The sequence below is a fragment of the Homo sapiens genome, chromosome 1, assembly GCF_000001405.40.
Source record: "Homo sapiens chromosome 1, GRCh38.p14 Primary Assembly".
Classification (NCBI taxonomy): Eukaryota; Metazoa; Chordata; class Mammalia; order Primates; family Hominidae; genus Homo; species Homo sapiens.
Window position 1 is genome coordinate 162,577,910 of NC_000001.11, and position 20,799 is coordinate 162,598,708.

The 20,799-nt window shown below is 38.7% G+C and overlaps 1 protein-coding gene across 17 annotated transcripts in view; it reads left to right on the forward strand.

Moving 5' to 3' along the window:
• Positions 1-20,799, forward strand: part of UAP1 (UDP-N-acetylglucosamine pyrophosphorylase 1) — a 39,710-nt gene that overhangs the window by 16,379 nt on the left and 2,532 nt on the right. For 6 of the 17 annotated variants that reach the window (NR_174352.1, NM_001388401.1, NM_001399791.1 and 3 more), the window contains 7 exons: positions 1,519-1,694; positions 3,378-3,550; positions 9,566-9,759; positions 10,784-10,924; positions 12,414-12,602; positions 14,823-14,873; positions 19,883-19,949. Coding sequence is in view for 16 of the 17 variants with exons in the window: in NM_001388401.1 (NP_001375330.1) it covers positions 1,519-1,694; positions 3,378-3,550; positions 9,566-9,759; positions 10,784-10,924; positions 12,414-12,602; positions 14,823-14,873; positions 19,883-19,949 (991 nt within the window). In the remaining variant the exon portion in view is untranslated. The remainder of the gene's footprint in view (positions 1-1,518; positions 1,695-3,377; positions 3,551-9,565; positions 9,760-10,783; positions 10,925-12,413; positions 12,603-14,822; positions 14,874-19,882; positions 19,950-20,799) is intronic. The other 11 variants (NM_001399790.1, NM_001324115.3, NM_003115.6 and 8 more) reach the window with 3 other exon arrangements.

Below are 20,799 nucleotides of genomic sequence, written 5' to 3' on the forward strand. Positions count from 1 at the left end.
ATTTTTTTTTGTTTTTTTTATAGAGACAGGGTTCTGGTCTCAAATTCCTGAGCTCAAGTGAGCTGCCCCCCTCGACCTCCCAAAATGCTGAGATTACAGGTGTGAGCCACTATGTCCAGCCAGTGTTAGTTTCCTAAGGACCAAGAGATTACAGAAGATCCTGCTCTGCTTTTTATAAGTTTTTGGTTCAGCTCTTTAGTCTCTTTCCCCGAGCAGTTTTGGAAGTTAGCATGTTTTGAGGGGAAAATCAGCTGTGTGTTTGAGGTCCCCCAAGTCCCTATCTTGTTATTTCAGTCCCATGTGATCAACAAAAGCTCTACTAGTTTCTGTCCCCGAGCAGCAGCCTTTGGTCCAAGCCATATTCACCACTAGCCTGTACCCCAAGTCAGCAGGTGCCCTCAGGACAAGGCAGCTGTATAGCCTCAGTTCCCTTTTGAAAGATTCTGTCTCTGGACTTACAATCTATTTTGCCTCTGAAGTTCTCTGATGCCTTTAAAAAACTGCTTTTTGTAATTTTCGTAGCTCTTCTAGCTCTTCTCACCACGAGTACTGGCCTGCTGTGAACTGTTTTGTTCATCTTGATGCCTGTGGGGAATTTGGAGGAACATCTGTGTTCTAAGTGGCCAACATTCTACTTACAGCCCTGGCCTCCTACTATCATGTTGAATTTTCTTCTCTCTCTTTCTTCCATCTCTTCACAACTCAATTTCTGTTCTTATGCAGAGAAGTTTAGCCACTTCTTCTGTCATCTTCTAAATATATCCAAACCTTTTGTACCTAAAGTTCAAAATATCCAGGATAATTTGTTAAACAGACAGATACCTCCTGTGGTATGAAATTATACCATTTTGTTTATTCATTTAACAAATATTAATTGAGTGTCTTTTTCTAGGTATTGAGGATAAATCAGTAACCCAAACAGGCAAAAATCCCTTCTTATATGTAGTTTACATTCTAGTAAGGGCAAAAGCTACCACAGTCACTAATTATAGTTTTAGAAATAATTTTTTTCTTTTTTGCCACACTAGCATGGGTTGGATTTTTGTGACAACAGAAAGTATAATTATACTTTTATGATTTTTAAATGGAGGGTTAGCAGAGCCCAGACTGCATTTCAGATTTCAATAAAAAGAACCCCAAGAGATCATTAAACTGTATTGCAGTTACCCTTTTCTTCCTGTTTATTCAGAATAGGCATTTCAAATTTAAAATACACTTTCACAGAGTTCTAAAATGTTTACTTAAGCCATTTTATAGGTTCTCTTGAAGGAGGTGTGTTTAGTATGTTTAATATTGTAAGTAGATTTATTTCATACGTAAGAGTTGATGAAATTACTGAAAGAAATTCCCCTTGGGTAACAGCTAATGAATGTGTCTTACCCAGGAAAAATATGAAGGAAGTCAAAATAATAAGCAAGTGCTTTCAAAGATATCTTTAGCTTAGGAAATAGACGAAACTTTATTTTGCCCTAGTCCACCTAGCACGGTTGCTTAGAAGATCTGATTTTCTCTTGTAAGGTATATAATGACCAGTGGCAGAACAATGGAATCTACAAAGGAGTTCTTCACCAAGCACAAGTACTTTGGTTTAAAAAAAGAGAATGTAATCTTTTTTCAGCAAGGAATGCTCCCCGCCATGAGTTTTGATGGGAAAATTATTTTGGAAGAGAAGAACAAAGTTTCTATGGCTCCAGGTTTGTAATCATCCTTATTTAATGGTGACTAGAAAGGATAACAACATAAATCATCAAATGTTGATTTTCTTTTTAACATGGTGATTTTGATATTTAAACATTAATATATATGTGTTTTTTGCAGCTTGGAAATGATTTAAAAAGATGAAAATGCCCGTTGGTGTAATGGATACACTTTTATGCTTGTTGTGGGTGTCTGCTCTATGGAGCAATTTGAGGAGCATTCAGGGTATTCTTTCTCTATAACAAGTATTTTATTTTTTATTTTTTACAATTTTTGAGACAGAGTCTCACTCTGTTGCCCAGGCTGGAGTACAGTGGCGCAATCTCGGCTCACTGCAACCTCTGCCTACTGGGTTCAAGTGATTCTCCTGCCTCAGCCTCCTGAGTAGCTGGGATTACAGGCACGCGCCACCATGCCCAGCTAAGTTTTTGTATTTTTTTGTAGAGAAGGGCTTTCGCCATGTTGGCTAGGCTGGTCTCAAACTCCTGACCTCAAATGATGTACCTGCCTTGGCCTCCCAAAGTGCTGGAATTACAGCCGTGAGCCACCGCGCCCAGCCATATAGCAAATATTTTATGTATACTGCAATGTTCATGGCTACATTGTTTATTATAGTGAAAACTTGGAAACCATATGCTATTTAATAAATGAGAGGCTAAATTATAGTTTAAAAATAGCATTAATTCTTAAATAGCATTAAAATAATTGGTGGCATTAAATTCTAAACATTATTTCAGCAAGTTAAGTAAGAGAATGCAAAATGAAAAACTGCATACAGTCTATGATTAGGGCCACTGCTTTGCACAATTCCAGGTAGTGCATACACATCATGGTTTGTTAATGGGACCCACTAGAATTGGACAGTGTATTGCCTGTGTAGCCACATTCAGTGACCCTGAGTACAACCTCAGTCTATAAAAATAGACCTACTGACAGATTTATGTTTATGAGAATCTGTACTTGGAGGAAAGGCTGAAAAGAAATTAATAGTATTAACAGTGGTGCTCTCTAGATGTAGGCTTTTATTTCATCTTAATTATTTTGGTTAATGGAAGAGTTACTATTCTTAGCTGTATTTTGTGAAGTTGTCTAATTTTTCATCACTTAAGCTATGGTTAAGGTTGTTATTGGACAAAGTACATTAAAGCAGCATTATAAATAGATGGAGAAAGAAGAGGCTTTATTTATATCTCGTTTAAATCACCTTAGGCCTCCATATCAATCTGTTTTTTTAACAAATGATTTGATACAAAATACTTACGTATTTTTGAGATGGGTGAAATTGTCAGCATTGGGGTTATAAATACAGAGCTAACTTGAATCATACAAATGTTAATGAAACTTGAAATGTTATGAAATAATCATTGCCTGATAAAGGATTTTATATCATACAATATATTACTAAAAGGGGCTGAGTTAAAAAGAAAGATATGGTTTTTGGGGTTGCCTGATCTTACATTGATAGTGTTATTCTCTGGATAGTTAATGCTAAGTAACCTTCAAAATCCTATAGTTCAATTTTTTTGACACCTGATTCCTTCCTTATGGATATTCAGTTTTCTTGCCTTTGTAAAGCGAATTTTGTTTTTTAGGGATCTTAACCCTAGTTTGGAAACAATCTTTGTGTTACCTTTATGATGGATTTTGATATGCTACTAATGGGCTATTTTGTTTTCCAGATGGGAATGGTGGTCTTTATCGGGCACTTGCAGCCCAGAATATTGTGGAGGATATGGAGCAAAGAGGCATTTGGAGCATTCATGTCTATTGTGTTGACAACATATTAGTAAAAGTGGCAGACCCACGGTTCATTGGATTTTGCATTCAGAAAGGAGCAGACTGTGGAGCAAAGGTAATGCCTTTCTCAACTATGGTGAGGCTTTTGATGGTCTTGCTCTGTCATATACGCATTCCAGAAGTCAAACCAAGTTTATTAGGGTGATTTGAATATTTTAGAACCATTTATCTCTCTAAAGTAACTAAACGGTCCCACACCCACTTTTTTTCTTAAATTGGCAAGACTTGATTCTAGATGTAATGTTGTATACTTATCACAGGTAAGAGTTTAAACTATGTGAGGAGGATTTGTAAGTACTTCGGAAAGTGGTCATCACTAGACCTGGGTTGGATTCATTAATATCAAATTGTGTTCAATCAGATTAACCCAACTTTTTTCCTGTGACAAAGTTATTGGAGTAGGTAAGGAAAATGTGGTAGAAATAACAGATTTAGACTTCCTAAGTCAGGTGACAAGGTATCTTACGATGTTCTTTCGAATAAGATAGAAATATGCAAGTTGGGCATAAGGACAATTAAAGAGGTGAATAACTGCTTGAATGACCACACACAGACTGATACTAAGTTGGAGGGAGGTTTGTAATGATATGTAATGAGTCTGTTCTTGGCATTGTACTTTTCAACACGTTTTTAGTTGTATAGGTGATGGCATGTCTTTATGGTAGCAAAAAATATATATATTATAGCTAGAAATAAAATAGACAGCAAACATGCAAACCTTTAAAAACACTTTGGAAGACCTAAAAATACTGATATAAACATTACTAGAAGTCTGTATAGGTATCCATTCTCATCAAAAACAGTGTAATAAAAGCCCAGTCAAAATCTCAGTGAGACTATTTTGGGGACACTTGACAGAATGATTGCAAAGTTTAGAATAAACATGTAAAGGTGGCCAGGAAAATGTTGAAAAAGGATGAAGATAAGGGAGGAAAGGGGGCCGAAGACCATCTATCAAGCATTAAAAGGAATTGTAAATTAAAAGAGTGTGGTACTGGAACCAGAATAGAATGACAGATTAATGAAAATAGAGTAGGTCAGTCAGAAACACATCTGTGTATGTATAAGAAGAACACATTTTATAAAATATGGCATTTTGACTCAGTGGAGGAAATGAATGAAATAACTGGCTAACAATAAAGTAAGATCTCTCTGTCAAAGCTCATACAAATATCAGTTTTAGGTGGATTACACAGTTAAATATTTAAAAATGAAATCATAAAGGTATTAGAAGAAAATTAGAAGAATTTTATAATTGTGATGCAAAAGGAAGACCTTTCTACTGAAAGCAGTAACCATATAGGCTTCTGACAAAAACAAATTCGATTTCAAATTATTTTGAAATATCTGTATTTAAAAAGAAGATCTGCCAAAGAAGTTATTTCTCTCAAAGTTAATCTAGAAATTTTATGCAAAGTCTCATTGGAAGCCGAAATCTTAAATTTACTGATACAAGTTTTGAGAGATTAAGCTGATAGACCTAATAAGCCTCCTCTGGACTCTGAAAATAAGTGTTGGTTTAGTTCAGTTATTTAAGACTTCTATCTGTTCCAATACTCTGTGAGTATCTGAACTGTATTTTTTTTTTTTTTAGCCACAGACTCACTATGTCATCTAGGCTGGTGTGCAGTGGCAGGATCTCGGCTCACTGCAACCTTTGCCTCCTGGGTTCAGTGATTCTCCTGCCTCACCCTCCCCAGTAGCTGGGATTATAGGCACACGCCTTCCACTTGGTGTCACTCTTTTTTTTTTTTTTTTTTTTTTTTGAGACGCAGTCTTGCACTGTCGCCTGGGCCGGAGTGCAGTGGCATGATCTTGGCTCACTGCAACCTCCGTCTCCCAGGTTCAAGCAATTCTCCTGCCTCAGCCTCCTGAGTAGCTGGGATTATAGGCACCCACCACCAGGCCCAGATAATTTTTTTGTATTTTTAGTACAGACGGGGTTTCACTATGTTGGCCAGGCTGGTCTCGAACGCCTGACCTCATGATCCACACACCTCAGCCTCCCAAAGTGCTGGGATTACAGGCGTGAGCCACCGTGCCCAGCTGGTGTCACTCTTTTTTCCTAAAATAGAAACTTAAAATTGTACTGTTACGAGCTTCAGAACCAATTTAAACTTTATGCAATCAGAGAGTGTTCAACCTGGAAGGGACCCCAGAGATCATCTGGTCAACCCCTTTGATCTCAGAAATGAGAATCCTGAGTTCTAGTACTTTGTTTGTTTATTTATTTATTTATTTATTTGACAGGGTCTGGCTCTGTTGCCTAGGCTGGATTGCAGTGATGTGATCTTGGCTCACTGCAACTTCTGCCTCCAGGCTCAGCAATTCTCCTGCCTCAGCCTCTGGAGTAGCTGGTACCACAGGCGTGCACCACCACACCTGGTTAATTTTTCTGGGTCTTTTTGTATTTTTAGTAGAGACAGGGTTTCACTGTGTTGCCTAGGCTGGTCTTGAACTTCTGACCTCAGGTGATCTACCTGCTTTGGCCTCCCAAAGTGCTGGGATTACAGGCGTGAGCCACTGCACCCGGCCAGAGTTCTAGTACTTTATAAGACTCAGGCTCAAGGTTCTTTATCACATTAACAGAGCCAGGATTAGAGTTCATGTTTCCCAACTTCCTAGTCTTATATTATATTACATTATAGAACCATACTCTTCAGATTAGTTTTTGCTGACAGTTCAAAAATCTTTAAACTGGTGTGCTAACTTTTGTGAGTACACTAATCATGCAAAGATGCAAGTGTTAAGTCACTCCTCTCCATTACCTGTGGGCTCTGTAGGATAAATCCAGACTCAGTCTTCCTTGCAAAGACACTCACTGTTTAGTCCTGTGTCTGGCATGTAATGTAGTAGTCATTCAGTGAATGAATAAGTAAATATTCAGATGGAACCAAAACATGACTAGACTGGCATATATTAAAATCTTTTAGAAATGTTAGAAGCCGTTTACATAATTGCTCCCCTGCCCTTTTAAAATAAGAAAATCAAAGCATTAAAATATGTATCTTAAAGCACCTAAGTTAGGGGATGATTCATACTGTGGTAGTAGAATTATTTGCAGTACTTTATTTTTATTGTATTTATTTATTCTGAGACAGGATCTCACTCTGCCACCCAGGCTGGATATGCAGTGGCATTATCATGGCTTCACTGCAGCCTCGACCTCCTGGGTTCAGGTGATCCTCTCACCTCAGCCTCCTGAGTAGCTGAGACTACAGGCACCCAGCACCATGCCTGGCTAATTTTTGTATTTTTTGTAGAGGTGGGGTTTTGCTACATTGCCCAGGCTGGTCTTGAAATCCTGGGCTCAGGTGATCTGCCTGCCTGAGCCTTCCAAAGTGCTGGGATTACAGGTGTGAACCACTATGCCTGGCCTGCAGTACTTTAATAGGCCCCTGTCTTGGTGCATTAAGTATTTTTTATGGAGTGAAGAACATGAGAAAAGACTGAAAGAGTGAGGTAGTTTGCAAAAGTACAAAGTTAAAAAGGTAGGAACCATTGTTAACTGAAGATCATTTTGTAAAGCAATTATAGTAACTCTGAGGTTAAAGTGTTATTTTGGACTCAGCTTTTCTCTCAGCTCACTGCAACCTCTGCCTACTGGGTTCAAGTGATCCTCCTGCTCAGCCTCCCAAGTAGCTGGGATTACAGGCATGTGCCACCACACCTGGCTAATTTACCATGTTGGCCAGGCTGGTCTCTTAACTCCTGACCTCAAGTGATCCACCTGCCTTGGCCTCCCGGAGTGCTGGGATTATAGGTGTAAGCTACTGTGCCTGGCCCTGGACTCAGTTTTTCTGGATTAAACTTATGAAATATTGAGTACACCTTTTAAGTTTATACTGTATATCTTTTTTTTTTTTTCTGAGATAAGAGTCTTTCTCTTGTTGCCCCAGCTGGAGCGCAATGGCGCAATCTTGGCTCACTGCAATCTCTGCCTCCCAGGTTCAAGTGATTCTGCTGCCTCAGCCTCCTGAATCGCTGGGATTACAGTGCCTACCACCATGCCTGGCTAATTTTTTTTTTTAATTTTCAGTAGAGATGGGGTTTCACCATGTTGGCCAGGCTGGTCTTGAACTCCTGACCTCAGATGATACACCCACCTCAGCCTCCCAAAGTGCTGAGATTATAGGTGTGAGCTACCACGCCCGTTCTATACTTTATATCTTTTCTGTATAATATAAATGGATTCCCACTTCATTCAGTTTACAAATGCTTTCTTCTGTAATGTAGACTTTTAAAATATTTAGAGGTTAATAGTTGCCATAGAAGTAAACCTTTGGGAAATGTAAAATGTGAATATGTATATTTTTATTTTTATGGCTGGTTGGGAGTAGGAGTATATAGTGGTGACTGGAAAATAAACCTGTGTGCGTTAAAAAAAAAAAAGAGAGAGAATAAGGGGAATCTATCCCAAATTCCCTGCCTAGTAAGATACCCACTGTAGGTAGAGTACATGAAGTAAGAGATGGTGATGGGTTGGTAGATAAGAATTGTAAATAGGCCCATGATTGATTTAAATAATTTGCTGCATAATGTTCCCCTTCAGTTTAATCTACTTCCTCGGTAGAAAGTTTCTTTTCATTAAGAACTGTGTTCCTTTCAGGGTGGCAAACAGTGAACCACACAACAGGCTTACTTATCCAGCAGTCCTGCCTCACTGAGCTGGACTCAGTGCCTATATCTCTAATTGCTGTGTAAATGAAGTTCTCAATAGTGGCTTTAGTTTTCTGGATGAGACTGTTACTGACTGTATTTATTTTAAGAAATCAGTTGTTGAAGAAAAGTCTTAACTTTATTAATATAATTTCATGTCTACTTAGGATAGACTTGTCAAATTGGGGACAGAGTTTTAAACATATTTTGAAGCATGCTGAATTGATAATTAGACTGGACAAACAAAACAATACCTTCAAATAGATAGGGATTTTTGAGACAGGGTCTTACTCTGTTGCCCAGGCTCGAGTGGAGTGCAGTGGTGCAATCACGTTTCACTGTAGCCTCAACCTCCCCAGACTCAGGTGATCCTCTTTCCTCAGTCTCCCTAGTAGCTGAGACTCCAGCATGCCACCACGCCTGGCTAATTTTTTTATTTTTTAAATAGAAGCCAGGGTTTCACCTTGTTGCCTAGGTTGACAAATATTTTTTATTGTTTGTTTCTTCGGTTGGATATTTATCTTATCTGAACCTTGATTTTATATTAGTGCATTGCATATAGTTCTTTTATAATTTTCTTCTAAACACTTAAGTCAGTGATGTGTGGGATTAGTGTGGTGGCATACCAAAATCACTTGTGAGGTTTTTAAAAATTACATATTCTTAATTTTCCCTCTGATTTTAGTATACCCTCTTTTCTCAGCTCCCCATCAGCCCAGAGCCATTGATAAATTATCACATCACTGGTTTTCAGAATTATTTTTTTGAAGTATAGAATCACTTATTTCAAACAAAATTGAGTATACAAAACAGATAAATATGGGTGGGTTTTCTAATTAAAGTTGGAGTGGGAGGCTAGTGACCTGCCTGCTCTAAACCCCTTTACCTCCTACTCAGGTCCCTGAAACACAAGGAAAATGCCAAAATTAAAGAAATGCTTTTTTCAAATGAAATATCGGGCAATAGAAAATGAGAGACAAAATGCCTAACTTAGGTCTTTTGTCTTGTGAATCCCAGAGAAATTTCATTTTATTTATTATGAAAGTAATTGAGGTGGTTAAGGATAAATTAAATAAAAAGTACAAGATACATGGGGGATGTTGACTCCTGATGTAATTATTCCCACTCCAATGTGATTTACTCTGTGCTAGATATATGTATATGATGGAATTTCTAGCCCAAGGTTTAGTTAGGTGATAAATAGGAAGGAAATAATATACCTCATTTCCAGTTGGAAAGTGCCTGTCAAGGTATATAAAGATGGATAGTTGATTGTCTAAAGTTAAAGATTCTTCTTGGCTTTATACCTTTTAGTGTAAGCAAAGTTGTAAATGTCATCTTTGACAATGGCAAATCTCCAAAGAAACATTTAATTCAATTTCCTCCTCTACTGTTTTTCTCTGGTGGACAGGTGGTAGAGAAAACGAACCCTACAGAACCAGTTGGAGTGGTTTGCCGAGTGGATGGAGTTTACCAGGTGGTAGAATATAGTGAGATTTCCCTGGCAACAGCTCAAAAACGAAGCTCAGACGGACGACTGCTGTTCAATGCGGGGAACATTGCCAACCATTTCTTCACTGTACCATTTCTGAGAGATGTTGTCAAGTATGGGCAAGATGGGGGCCTTTTAAAATTATATTTATTGTTAATCAGAAACTAAGACACTTGAGAGGGATGCAGACACCCCAAGTCCATATCCCACAGAATTCATCTTTCCTGAGGATCACTTATCAAATGGACATTTATCTCATGTTGTGATTGTTTTTAGTAAGATGTATTGTAAGGTGGGAATCATCGGAGCCCATTCCCCAGCGCATTAATGGGAGGCCAAAGCATTTCTCCCTTCTCACCCTCCCACCCCCAACTATGTGCTAGGTTCTGTTGAAGCAAAGCATAAGAAATGAAACTTTCTTTACCACAGCTGTGAGCTTTTTAAAAATACAGATGTTCACCTTACACCAACTGAATTAGAATTTCAGGAGGTGGGTTCGGGGCATCTATATTTTTAGAAAGCTGCCCACAAAGTTCTAATTCAGCTGATTCCCAGGCTGGCATTTAGAAACTAGTGTGCTAAAGAGTGAAGAAATTACTTGACACCTGCATGAAAATTAGCGGGTAGTGCTACAAAGGATAAAATAAGAGCTATTTTATCCCACCATAGTTTTAAATGAAGGACATTCTCACTATCGATTTCACTTAGCTTTTAGACATTCAAGATGACTTGTCTACTTTTTAAAAAGTTAATATGCATTACTTTAGAATATCAACTCCAGTTCCAAAATATTTCCCATTCTATGCCATTTGTAGCTGTGTTACTGTTTCATCCATAGTAACTTAATGCGTTTTTTAATGTACATATATACAGTTTTAAGGCATTTGTAATGAATACAGTTTTAATGCACACGTACACAGTTTTAGTGGAGACTGTTATTTGATTTTTTTTTAAATATAAAGAGATGATTGGGGGAAAGCTATTCATTTACTATTTAAATATGAACTGAAACTTAAATGCTCTTCACTTTGAAAATCTTAGTATTGGTTGTTGACACATTTGCTCCTGAATGTTGTAAGATTTTCTGGCATTTTAAATCTGGAACGTGATTATATCTTTTCTCCTCCTGCTTCTTAGTGTTTATGAACCTCAGTTGCAGCACCATGTGGCTCAAAAGAAGATTCCTTATGTGGATACCCAAGGACAGTTAATTAAGCCAGACAAACCCAATGGAATAAAGATGGAAAAATTTGTCTTTGACATCTTCCAGTTTGCAAAGTATGCTTTGAATAGTACCAATAAGGTTAAATAAATGTCTTAAAATGCTGCTTTTCACTCTCTTAGGCATGAAACTGTTTTCAGGAAACATTTGATAGCACATATCTCACATGGCATTTTGATTGTGAGTATGTAGTCTAGATTCATTATAGTTCTCTGGAATAAAACCAGGAGTGTGATCTGAGTTGCCTATGAGTACAACTTTTTTTTTTTTTAAATCAACTAGTTTCTGGCTCCTATAAAGTTTTTTTCATATGTATATTAAATATATATATTATATATATATTTTATATATATAATTTATATATTTATATAATATATATTATATATAATATATAAATATTATATATAATATATATTATATATTATATTTAAATATATATAATATTTATATATTATATATAAATTTATAGTTATATATAAATATATATTTATTTATAATATATATAAATATATATTGTTTATATTATATATATAAATAAATATATATTTATTTATTAAATGTGATGGGGTCTTGCTATGTTGAGCAGGCGGGTCTCAAACTTGTGGCCTCAAGCGATCTTCCCATCTCGGCCGCCCAAAGTGCTGGGATTATAGGCTTGAGCCACTACGCCCCGCCTTGGTCTCCTGTAAAGTTGTTAAAGTCATTTATTTTGGATGAGAAACTGAAAAGGTTAAGATAAAGAGTTGTCTCGTTTTGTATTTAGGATATCTTCTTACTGCCCTGTGAATAGATGTTTCAGTAAACATGTTTTTAGATTATATAGCTCTCTATAAAGATCACATTTGATGTTGAGATGCTTGTCTCAGAATTTGACGAGTGCAAAAATGAGAAAGACAAATAAGCTGTATAAAATTAATGCGTGGTGGCTCATGCCTGTAATTCCAGCAGTTTGGGAGGCTGAGGCGGGTGGATGACTTGAGGCCAAGGAGTTGGATACCAGCCTGGCCAACATGGTGAAACCCTGTCTCTACTAACAGTACAAAAATTAGGTGGGCGTGGTGGTGCATGCCTGAAGTCCCAGCTACTCAGGAGGCTGAGGTGAGAGAATCTCTTGAACCCAGGAGGAGAGGTTGCAGTGAGCTGAGATTGTGCCACTGCACTCCAGCCTGGGTGACAGAGTGAGACTCCGTCTCAAAAAAATAAATAAATAAAATGAAATTAATCTTTCCATTTCTAAATCATTTTTTTTGCCTGTTTTTTTTTTTTTCCAGAACAGATACTAATGTGATCTTTGTACATTAAGATTTCTAATCTTTCCGACTTAAGATGAACTGTTCTATAGTTGAGGGGGGAAATGATTTCTCATTTTGCATTGAAAAAGAAAATTTCAGCTTTCTTTAGTCCAAGGGTGAGCAATATTTTATTCATCATTCAGATTGGAATAGGAAAGCCTATTGTTGAGACCAAAGCCTTAGCTATGTTAAAGGGTTAGAAGCTGTGTATGCAGTTTCATAATAAAGAGGTCTTTATATGGTTTCGCTCTAGGAAGTTTGTGGTATATGAAGTATTGCGAGAAGATGAGTTTTCCCCACTAAAGAATGCTGATAGTCAGAATGGGAAAGACAACCCTACTACTGCAAGGCATGCTTTGATGTCCCTTCATCATTGCTGGGTCCTCAATGCAGGGGGCCATTTCATAGATGAAAATGGCTCTCGCCTTCCAGCAATTCCCCGGTAAGTCAGTATCTTTTCTCTTTTGTATGAATCCTTTCTTGGACTTTTCCTCTTGGACTTCTCTCTCTCTCTCTCTCTCTGTATTCCTAGATCTTTTTTAAAAAGCAAAGTTTTGATGTGTGAACAGTTCCTGATGTGAAATAACAGTAGCTTTGCCTATTATAAAGAGAATGATTGTTTTACTTTCTTGTGAAGAGGAGTCTTTCAGATCTCTCTTTTTTTAATTTTTATTTTTTGGAAACATTGCCACCATGACAGCAAAAAGACTTCTACTAAATAATGATCAGAAGATTTTTTTTTTTTTGGTGTGCCATATGGTTAAAGCCCATCAGTAACACACTATACCACAGGGCAAGTCCTTCAGCCACAGAGGATTGTTTGTTGTTGCCCATATATCTGTGGCCTCACCACTATTTTTTTTTTTTTTTTTTGAGACAGAGTCTTGCTTTGTCACCAGGTTGGAGTGCAGTGGCACAGTCTCAGCTCACTGCAGCCTCCACCTCCCGTGTTCAAATCGATTCTCCTACCTCAGCCTCCCAAGTAGCAGGGACTATACAGGCACATGCCACCACACCCAGCTAATTTTTATATTTTTAGTAGAGATGGGCTTTCACTATGTTGACCAGAGTGCTCTCGATCTCCTGACCTTGTGATCCACCCGCCTTGGCCTCCCAAAATGCTGGGATTACAGGTGTGAGCCACTGGGCCCGGCTGACCTCACTACTGTTAATAGTACTGTCTGTGAGACCCACTCATAGCTCCACCACCCCCAGGCTACCTACAAATTGTAGTCCAATGGCAGTTTTCACTGTAGCACTTTCAGGTCACTGAGGAAGGTGTCTAGAAGAGAAGTAAATGTCAGTTACATTCACTGATACTTAGAAATGGCTTTGGTTTTGAGAAGTTAAAAAAAGAAGGTATTGTAGTTATTTAAATCCAAGATAAAGTACTTTTCAGCTAAATCTGTTTTTTTGTTTGTTTGTTTGTTTTTTGGAGACAGTTTCACTCTTGTCACCCAGGCTGGAGTGCAATGGCACAATCTCTGCCCACTGCAACCTCTGCCTCCTGGGTTCATGTGATTCTCCTGCCTCAGCCTCCCAAGTAGCTGGGGTTACACTCGCCTGCCATAAAGCCCAGCTAATTTTTGTATTTTTAGTAGAGACAGGATTTCACCATGTTGGTCAGGCTAGTCCCGAAATCCTGACCTCAGGTGATCCGCCCGCTTTGGCCTCCCAAAGTGCTGGGATTACAGGCGTGAGCCGCCATGTCTGGCCAATCTTTTTTTTTTTTTAAGACAAGGTCTTGCTCTGTCACCCAGGCTGGAGTGCAGTGGCGCGATCTTGGCTCACTGCAACCTTCACTTCCTGGGCTTAAACAATACACCCGCCTTGGCCACCCAAAGTGCTGGGATTACAGGTGTGAGCTATTGTGCTCAGCCTAAATCTTGTATTTTATGATGAAACCTTCACTGGCACCTAGAATTTCCCTTTCTGAATCATCTGGTATATCCGTACTTATGTAAAAAGCATTCTGGCATTTAATTTATATTCCTAACGGATAAGATGGCTGGCTGCAAGAATGCCTCAATAAATGGTAAAATATTGGGCTGGACACGGTGGTTTGTGCCTGTAATCCCAGTATTTTGGGAGACTGAGGCAGGCAGATTACCTGAGGTTCAAGACCAGCCTGGCCAACATGGTGAAACCCTGTCTCTACTAAATATACAAAATTAGCTGGGCATGGTAGCGCATGCCTGTATCCCAGCTACTTGGGTGGCTGAGGCAGGAGAATTGCTTGAACCCGGGAGGGAGAAGTTTCAGTGAGCTGAGACTGTACCACTGCACTCCGGCCTGGGTGACAGAGTGAGACTCCATCTCAAGAAAAATAATAAAATGTTAGAGAACACTGAACATTGGAATTTACTGGTACATAACTGGTTTTACAAGAAGCAGCAGTGGTAGCTTTCATCTCCCAGTCCAAGGCCACTTTTGGGCTCTGTATTGTCAACAAGCTTGCTCTTGGCATGTCACATTGTCCTCATGTTTCATCTTTGGCCATTGAGTTTTATTTTTATTTTTTTACCCCCTTTTGGTCTCTTGGGACGAATTTATGATTTACCATAAATACATACCATTCAATCAAGTATATTTTGCAACTCCATTTCATTGTTATTGTTTGATTTGCTTCCATTCCCATTAATCCTTATTTATTCCCACATAGCAGTGCTACAAATGGGAAGTCAGAGACCATCACAGCTGATGTCAATCACAAGTAAATATACCAGCCTGCCTACAGTGCATGGTGATGGGGCTGTGCTTCCCTCCATACTAACTGGCATCGTAGTTTAGTGCTCTGCCTTTTGGGGGTCTGGAGGGAGGATGGTTGAAACTTTGGTGTGGGTGCACTGCTTACTTGGTGGCAGGTATCTCTCTGGATGACACTAACTCAGAATCTTGTTGCATGCTGGAAATGGAGAGCATGCTTTACTAAAGAATCTGACCACAGGTGTTAGAGCTGGAACTGACAGATTTTCAGATGATAGGTAAGATCCAGAGCAGGTTACAGGTCAGGGAGAACACATTTTGCACCTTTAACATAAGCTTATACGGGGTTAAAAATACCATTCTGAAGATGTGTCTTGTGGAATTGGGTGTATGCTCTCAGTATACAGGCTGATTGTTCCTGTCATATTTGATGGCCCTTAATATGGAGAAAACTGTTCTGTTGATTTATTCTCACACTAACAGCTCTCCTTTTTGGTCACTGCATTAATTTTAGTCAGTTACTTTCTTGCTTCTAAAGAATCTTTTTATCTTAATGGCAGATCATTTTTAGTTAGAAGTAACACATATCCTCTCCCATCTGGGTACTGACAGAGTTTGGAAAAGCCATTATCTTTATAGTTTAAGAGACAGCTTGATGTTATTGTTACACTTTGAAAGTTAAAGTTTTTAAGGTTGGGTGCGGTGGCTCACACCTGTAATCCCAGCACTTTGGGAGGCCAAGGCAGGCAGATTACCTGAGGTCAGGAGTTCGAGACTAGCCTGGCAAACATGGCGAAACCTCATCTCTACTAAAAATACAAAAATTAGCTGGTGTGGTCATGCACGCTTGTAGTCCCAGCTACTCAGGAGGCTCAGGTGGGAGAATCACTTGAGCCTGGGAGGCAGAGGTTGCAGTGAGCTGAGATCGCACCATTGCACTCCAGCCTTGGTGACAGAGCAAGACTCCATCTCAAAAAAAAAAAAAAGAAAGAAAGAAAAAGTTTTTAAGGTAATTTGGGAAATATATGCAGGGCAAAAGATCTGGAGATGGAAGTTATCTCAGAAATAGAGTAGCACCTTCATCAGTGTCACCCACGTGCTTTTTCCTGTCTGTGCCATTCCTCTGCCCAGACAAATTCCTGTGAGTGTCAGTGTTTCTGGGATGTGATTCTGTAAACAAGGAAGTGGACTCAAAGATCTGATCAATTTCTTATAGGTGCTGTAGATCAGCGGTCTCCAACCTATTTTGGCACCAGGGACTGGCTTTGTGGAAGACAATTTTTCCACAGACTTGGGGTGGTGAGGGTGGTTTCAGGATGATTCAAGCATGTTACATTTATAGTACACTTTATTTCTATTATTATTACATTGTAATGAAATAATTATACAACTCACTGTAATGTATAGAATCAGTGGGAGCCCTGAGCTTGTTTTCCTGCACCTAGGTGGTCCCATTTGGGGATGATGGGAGACATCATCAGGCATTAGACTCTCATAAGGAGCACACAACCTAGATCCCTTACATGGGCAGTTCACGATAGTGTTCACATTCTTAAGAGAATCTGTTGCGGCCACTGATCTGACAGGAGGTGGAGCTCAGGCAGTAATGTGAGTGGTGGGGAGCATCTGTAAATACAGATGAAGCTTTACTCACTTGCCCACTGCTCATCTCCTGGTGTGTGATCCAGGTCCTAACAGGCCACAGAGTAGTACCGGTCCATGGCCCAGGGGTTGGGGACCGCTGCCATAGATGACTGTTGTCTCTCCTGCCTTGGGAACTGGGATGCAGAGCCCTTTATCACTTTCTGTCTCATCCACCATTTTTAATATATGGAAGCAAGCTGCTTTTATATTTAAGAAATAAAACTTTGATTAAATTTCTTTGTCATTGAACCATAGCTTTTAACCTAACAGTGTAATAGATTGTTAATTATATAACTGAAGACAGCATCTAGCTATCTTAGTTAAGATACAAAAAGCTTTAAACATTATTCTTACTCTTTTGTTTAATATCCCCCATCGCCCAGTTTACTTCATTTTAGCCATTTATAGAATAATTAAAGTGAAATCAAAGTTTGGCTTTAAATGATACCATGCACTGAAAAAGAGTTCCTGCGTAATCCTTAGCACCAAAGGATGACCTTACACAGCTGAAGAACATCATGTAATTGTGAGAGATGAAAAGGAAGTATATTATGTAAAAGAGGGAAGAAGCAACTAGGAGGTATTCTGAAAGAATGGAAACAACCATGCTGAGTTTTGACTCGATATTATTTTTATTTCTCACCTTAATGCTTACTGAATAGTGTTAGCTACCAAAAGGATGCATGGCTAAAGAATTGTGGGGCAGTAGGTTTATTGGGCTAATTTGCTTATATCCTGAGATTTTACATTTGGTGATGGTAGCTTCTGTTTTCCCTCCTTCAGGGCATCCAATTTTGTTTACTGAAGTTCACTCCTTAGTTTCTTGGGGTATCTTTGTGGTAGTAGAATGGAAGTTACATATTCAGGCCAGCTGTATATGTGTTTCTTGGGTTCACAACCACCTTCTGTTCCTGCTACACTGAATCCTTCAGGGGTTTAGGTGGGACTGGGCTATATACATCTTAATGGGGTGGGCCCTCATTTTTTCCTTTTTTTTTCCTCGGCATGCCTACTCAAGATTCATTTGGTTTTGTATGACTTTGAGTTGCCCCAGAAGGTCTGGACTAGACCTCTTGAGCTCTTGTGGTAGAATCTGGCATGTATGTAGAGAGGTGTGTGCCCCACTATGCCTCCTCTTTTCCCTTCATTAGTTTGTCATCATTTTCATAGTGTTATTTGTTCAGACAACAAGCATTCGTAGGCCTGCTCATAGGTTTATAGGTGCTATTAGTATCCTAGGTGCTGAAGTATCTTATACAAGAGAAATAAGTCACTTCTTACAGACTACTGGGATGTTCAAGATGCACATACATAAAAGTTAAGTAACATTTTCAGGCAGTATGTGATTATGTGCTAAATGTGTGCTATAGCAATAATTACTCTGGGAGGCAGTGACTTAGCAGGTGTCTAATACATTTATTTTTTATTTATTATTGTTATTATTATTTTTGAGACAGTGTCTTGCTCTGTTGCCCAGGCTGGAGTGCAGTGGAGCGATCTCAGCTCATTGCAACCTTCACCTCCTGGGCTCAAGCGATTCTCCTGCCTCAGCCTCCTGAGTAGCTGGGATTACAGATGCTCGCCTCCAAGCCCAGCTAATTTTTTGTATTGTTAGTAGAGATGGGGTTTCACCATGTTGGCCAGGCTGGTCTCGAATTCCTGACCTCAAGTGATCTGCCCACCTTGGCCTCTCAAAGTGCTGAGATTATAGGCATGAGCCACCACACCCGGCCACATTAATTAAATTAATTAATTAATGTATTTATTTATTTTCGAGACAGAGTCTCGCTCTGTCACCCCGGCTAGAGTGCAATGGTGCAATCTCGGCTCACTGCAACCTCTGCCTCTTGGGTTCTAGCGATTCTCCTGCCTCAGCCTCCGGAGTAGCTGGCTTTACAGGTACGCGCCACCACACCCGGCTAATTTTGTATTTTTATTAGAGACAGGGTTTCACCATGTTAGCCAGGCTGGTCTCAAACTCCTGACCTCAGGTGATCCACCCACCGCGGCCTCCCAAAGTGCTGGGATTACAGGTGTGAGCCACTGCACCCAGCCACATTTATTTTTTATATGAATAAATGGATGGAGACAATCACTATGAAATGCAGTGGTCAAGAGAAGATTGGGGCTTGAGCCAAATCTTGGAGGATGAGTATGGTTTTTATGGGACCATAGTTGAGAATGACTTGGAATAATCCAAAGAGTGTGACTGATCTGGTTTGAGTGGAGAGTCTCAGGATAAGTAAGGTGAAGTAGGATAGAGAGTGCTTTGAATGCTAGAGAAAGGTTGACCTGTAGCTAAACTCAGAAGCCCTCTGATTTTTATTGACTCCAGCAAAGTTTGAGACTACGTACTTGGGGAAAGCACAGAAAGAGCTATGGTTTGACAAGAGACTAATATTTTTGTGCCCTGTGTCTTATTGGTAAGATTCTTGAAGTGGCAAATAACAAAGAGGTCTAATGACTGCAAACTCATTGACTATTTATTGACTTTTGTGTTAGATAACTTAGAAATTCAGAATTGCTGTAAATGTTAGGTTGTGACCTAGATGAAACAAATAGGGACTTTGACCTTGCCTTCGCTTGAGTGCATTCTGCCTTAGCTCTTTAAAAAGGGACTTTTGGTAACAGAGAAGTACTTTGAAACATATTGAATAAATTAGCTCAGCTAATCTAGGACATTTGGGTTGTACAGAAAAAACATGTACTGGGAAATAATTTAACTGTCTGATAGAACTTTCTGCAGTGAAGGAAATGTTGCATATCTTTGTTGTCCAGTTTTGTAGTCATTGGCCATTCATGGCTTCTGAACACTCGAAGTGTGATTATTATGACTGAGAAACTGAATTTTAAATTTTAAATTAGTTTTAAAAATTTTAATTAAATTTAAGTAGCCCTGTGCAGCTATTGGCTTCTGTATTGGATAGTACAGCTTTAGAATGTTTGTCAACATTAATAGTACCAAGGTAGTGGTGAAGATTAAAATGCAATATGAAGGCTTCAGAGCACCTAGCATTGGGCTTGGCATATAGTATATACCTAGTAAGTAGTCACCTTTTTATCAAATTGAAACTTGGAAATGGTTAAAAATGAGATGTATGTAAGGGGACAGTGTGTAAAAACTAGTGAAGTGCTGTAAAGAGCTACCAGTAATTATTGGCACTTGCCCCAAATAGTGTCCTTCTGACCTGAGAATTTCATATTAACTTAATCCTCAGGGAATTTAGTGATCATCAGGGTAGCATCTATTCCATTTGTTTAACTGGAAGAATTATCTGCAAGCTTCTCAGAGGAAAGTTATGGTTTGTACTTTTGCTCTGGCAAGTAACATGGGAAGCAAAGTCTTTAACACATACTTGTTTTTTTTCTTAGCTTGAAGGATGCCAATGATGTACCAATCCAATGTGAAATCTCTCCTCTTATCTCCTATGCTGGAGAAGTAAGTCTGCTTTACTTTTTCCTCTATTCTTTTACAAAGCTTTGTATATTTCAAAATAATGAAAAAGTGGATTTTAAATGTTCTCACCATAAAGAAAGGATAAGTATTTGAGGTGATAGATATGTTAATTGGCTTTATTTGATTATTCGACAGTGTATATATGCATTGAATCATCACATTGTATCTGAAAAATATATACAATTATTGTCAATTAAAAATGAAATAAGGTTGGGCACAGTGGCTCACTCCTGTAATCCCAGTACTTTGGGAGGCTGAGGCAAGAGGATTGCTTGAGCTCAGGAGTTTGAGACCAGCCTGGGCAATATAGTGAGACCTGTCTTTATAAAGAAAAAAAAAATTACAAAAAAAGAAATAAAACTTTTTTAAAAAGTAGAATTCTGGCATTGTTTTATGTTTAAGTAGGGATGTCCTTAGAGAAGATGCAGCATTTTCTGATGGTCCTGCCCTGAGGAGCTCTTCCTGGGAACAAGTTGAGAAGCTGCATTTGTTCTGAATTCTTCTCTTTGAGAATTCGTGTTATGGCTTTGCATCTATCCCATAAGTGGGTTAGTTGCCATTAACAGACATCTGCAATATCTAGTCCATTTCACCTACTCATTGAAATGTAGTAGGCTTTTGAAAAATATATAATCAGCCTTGTTTTTTAGATGAATCACCTGGCTTTTTTTAAATGCAATGTAAGTTTTCTTTCAAGGATTCTAGTTTGTTCAAGTACTTAGTACTGTCACTTTTAAAACTTGGGGATTTAGAGGTCTCTACTCTTTTACTTATGTAATATTTTTCCTGGAGATCTTTGTATTGCTTTGTTGTAGCATTAGAGATAGCTTTC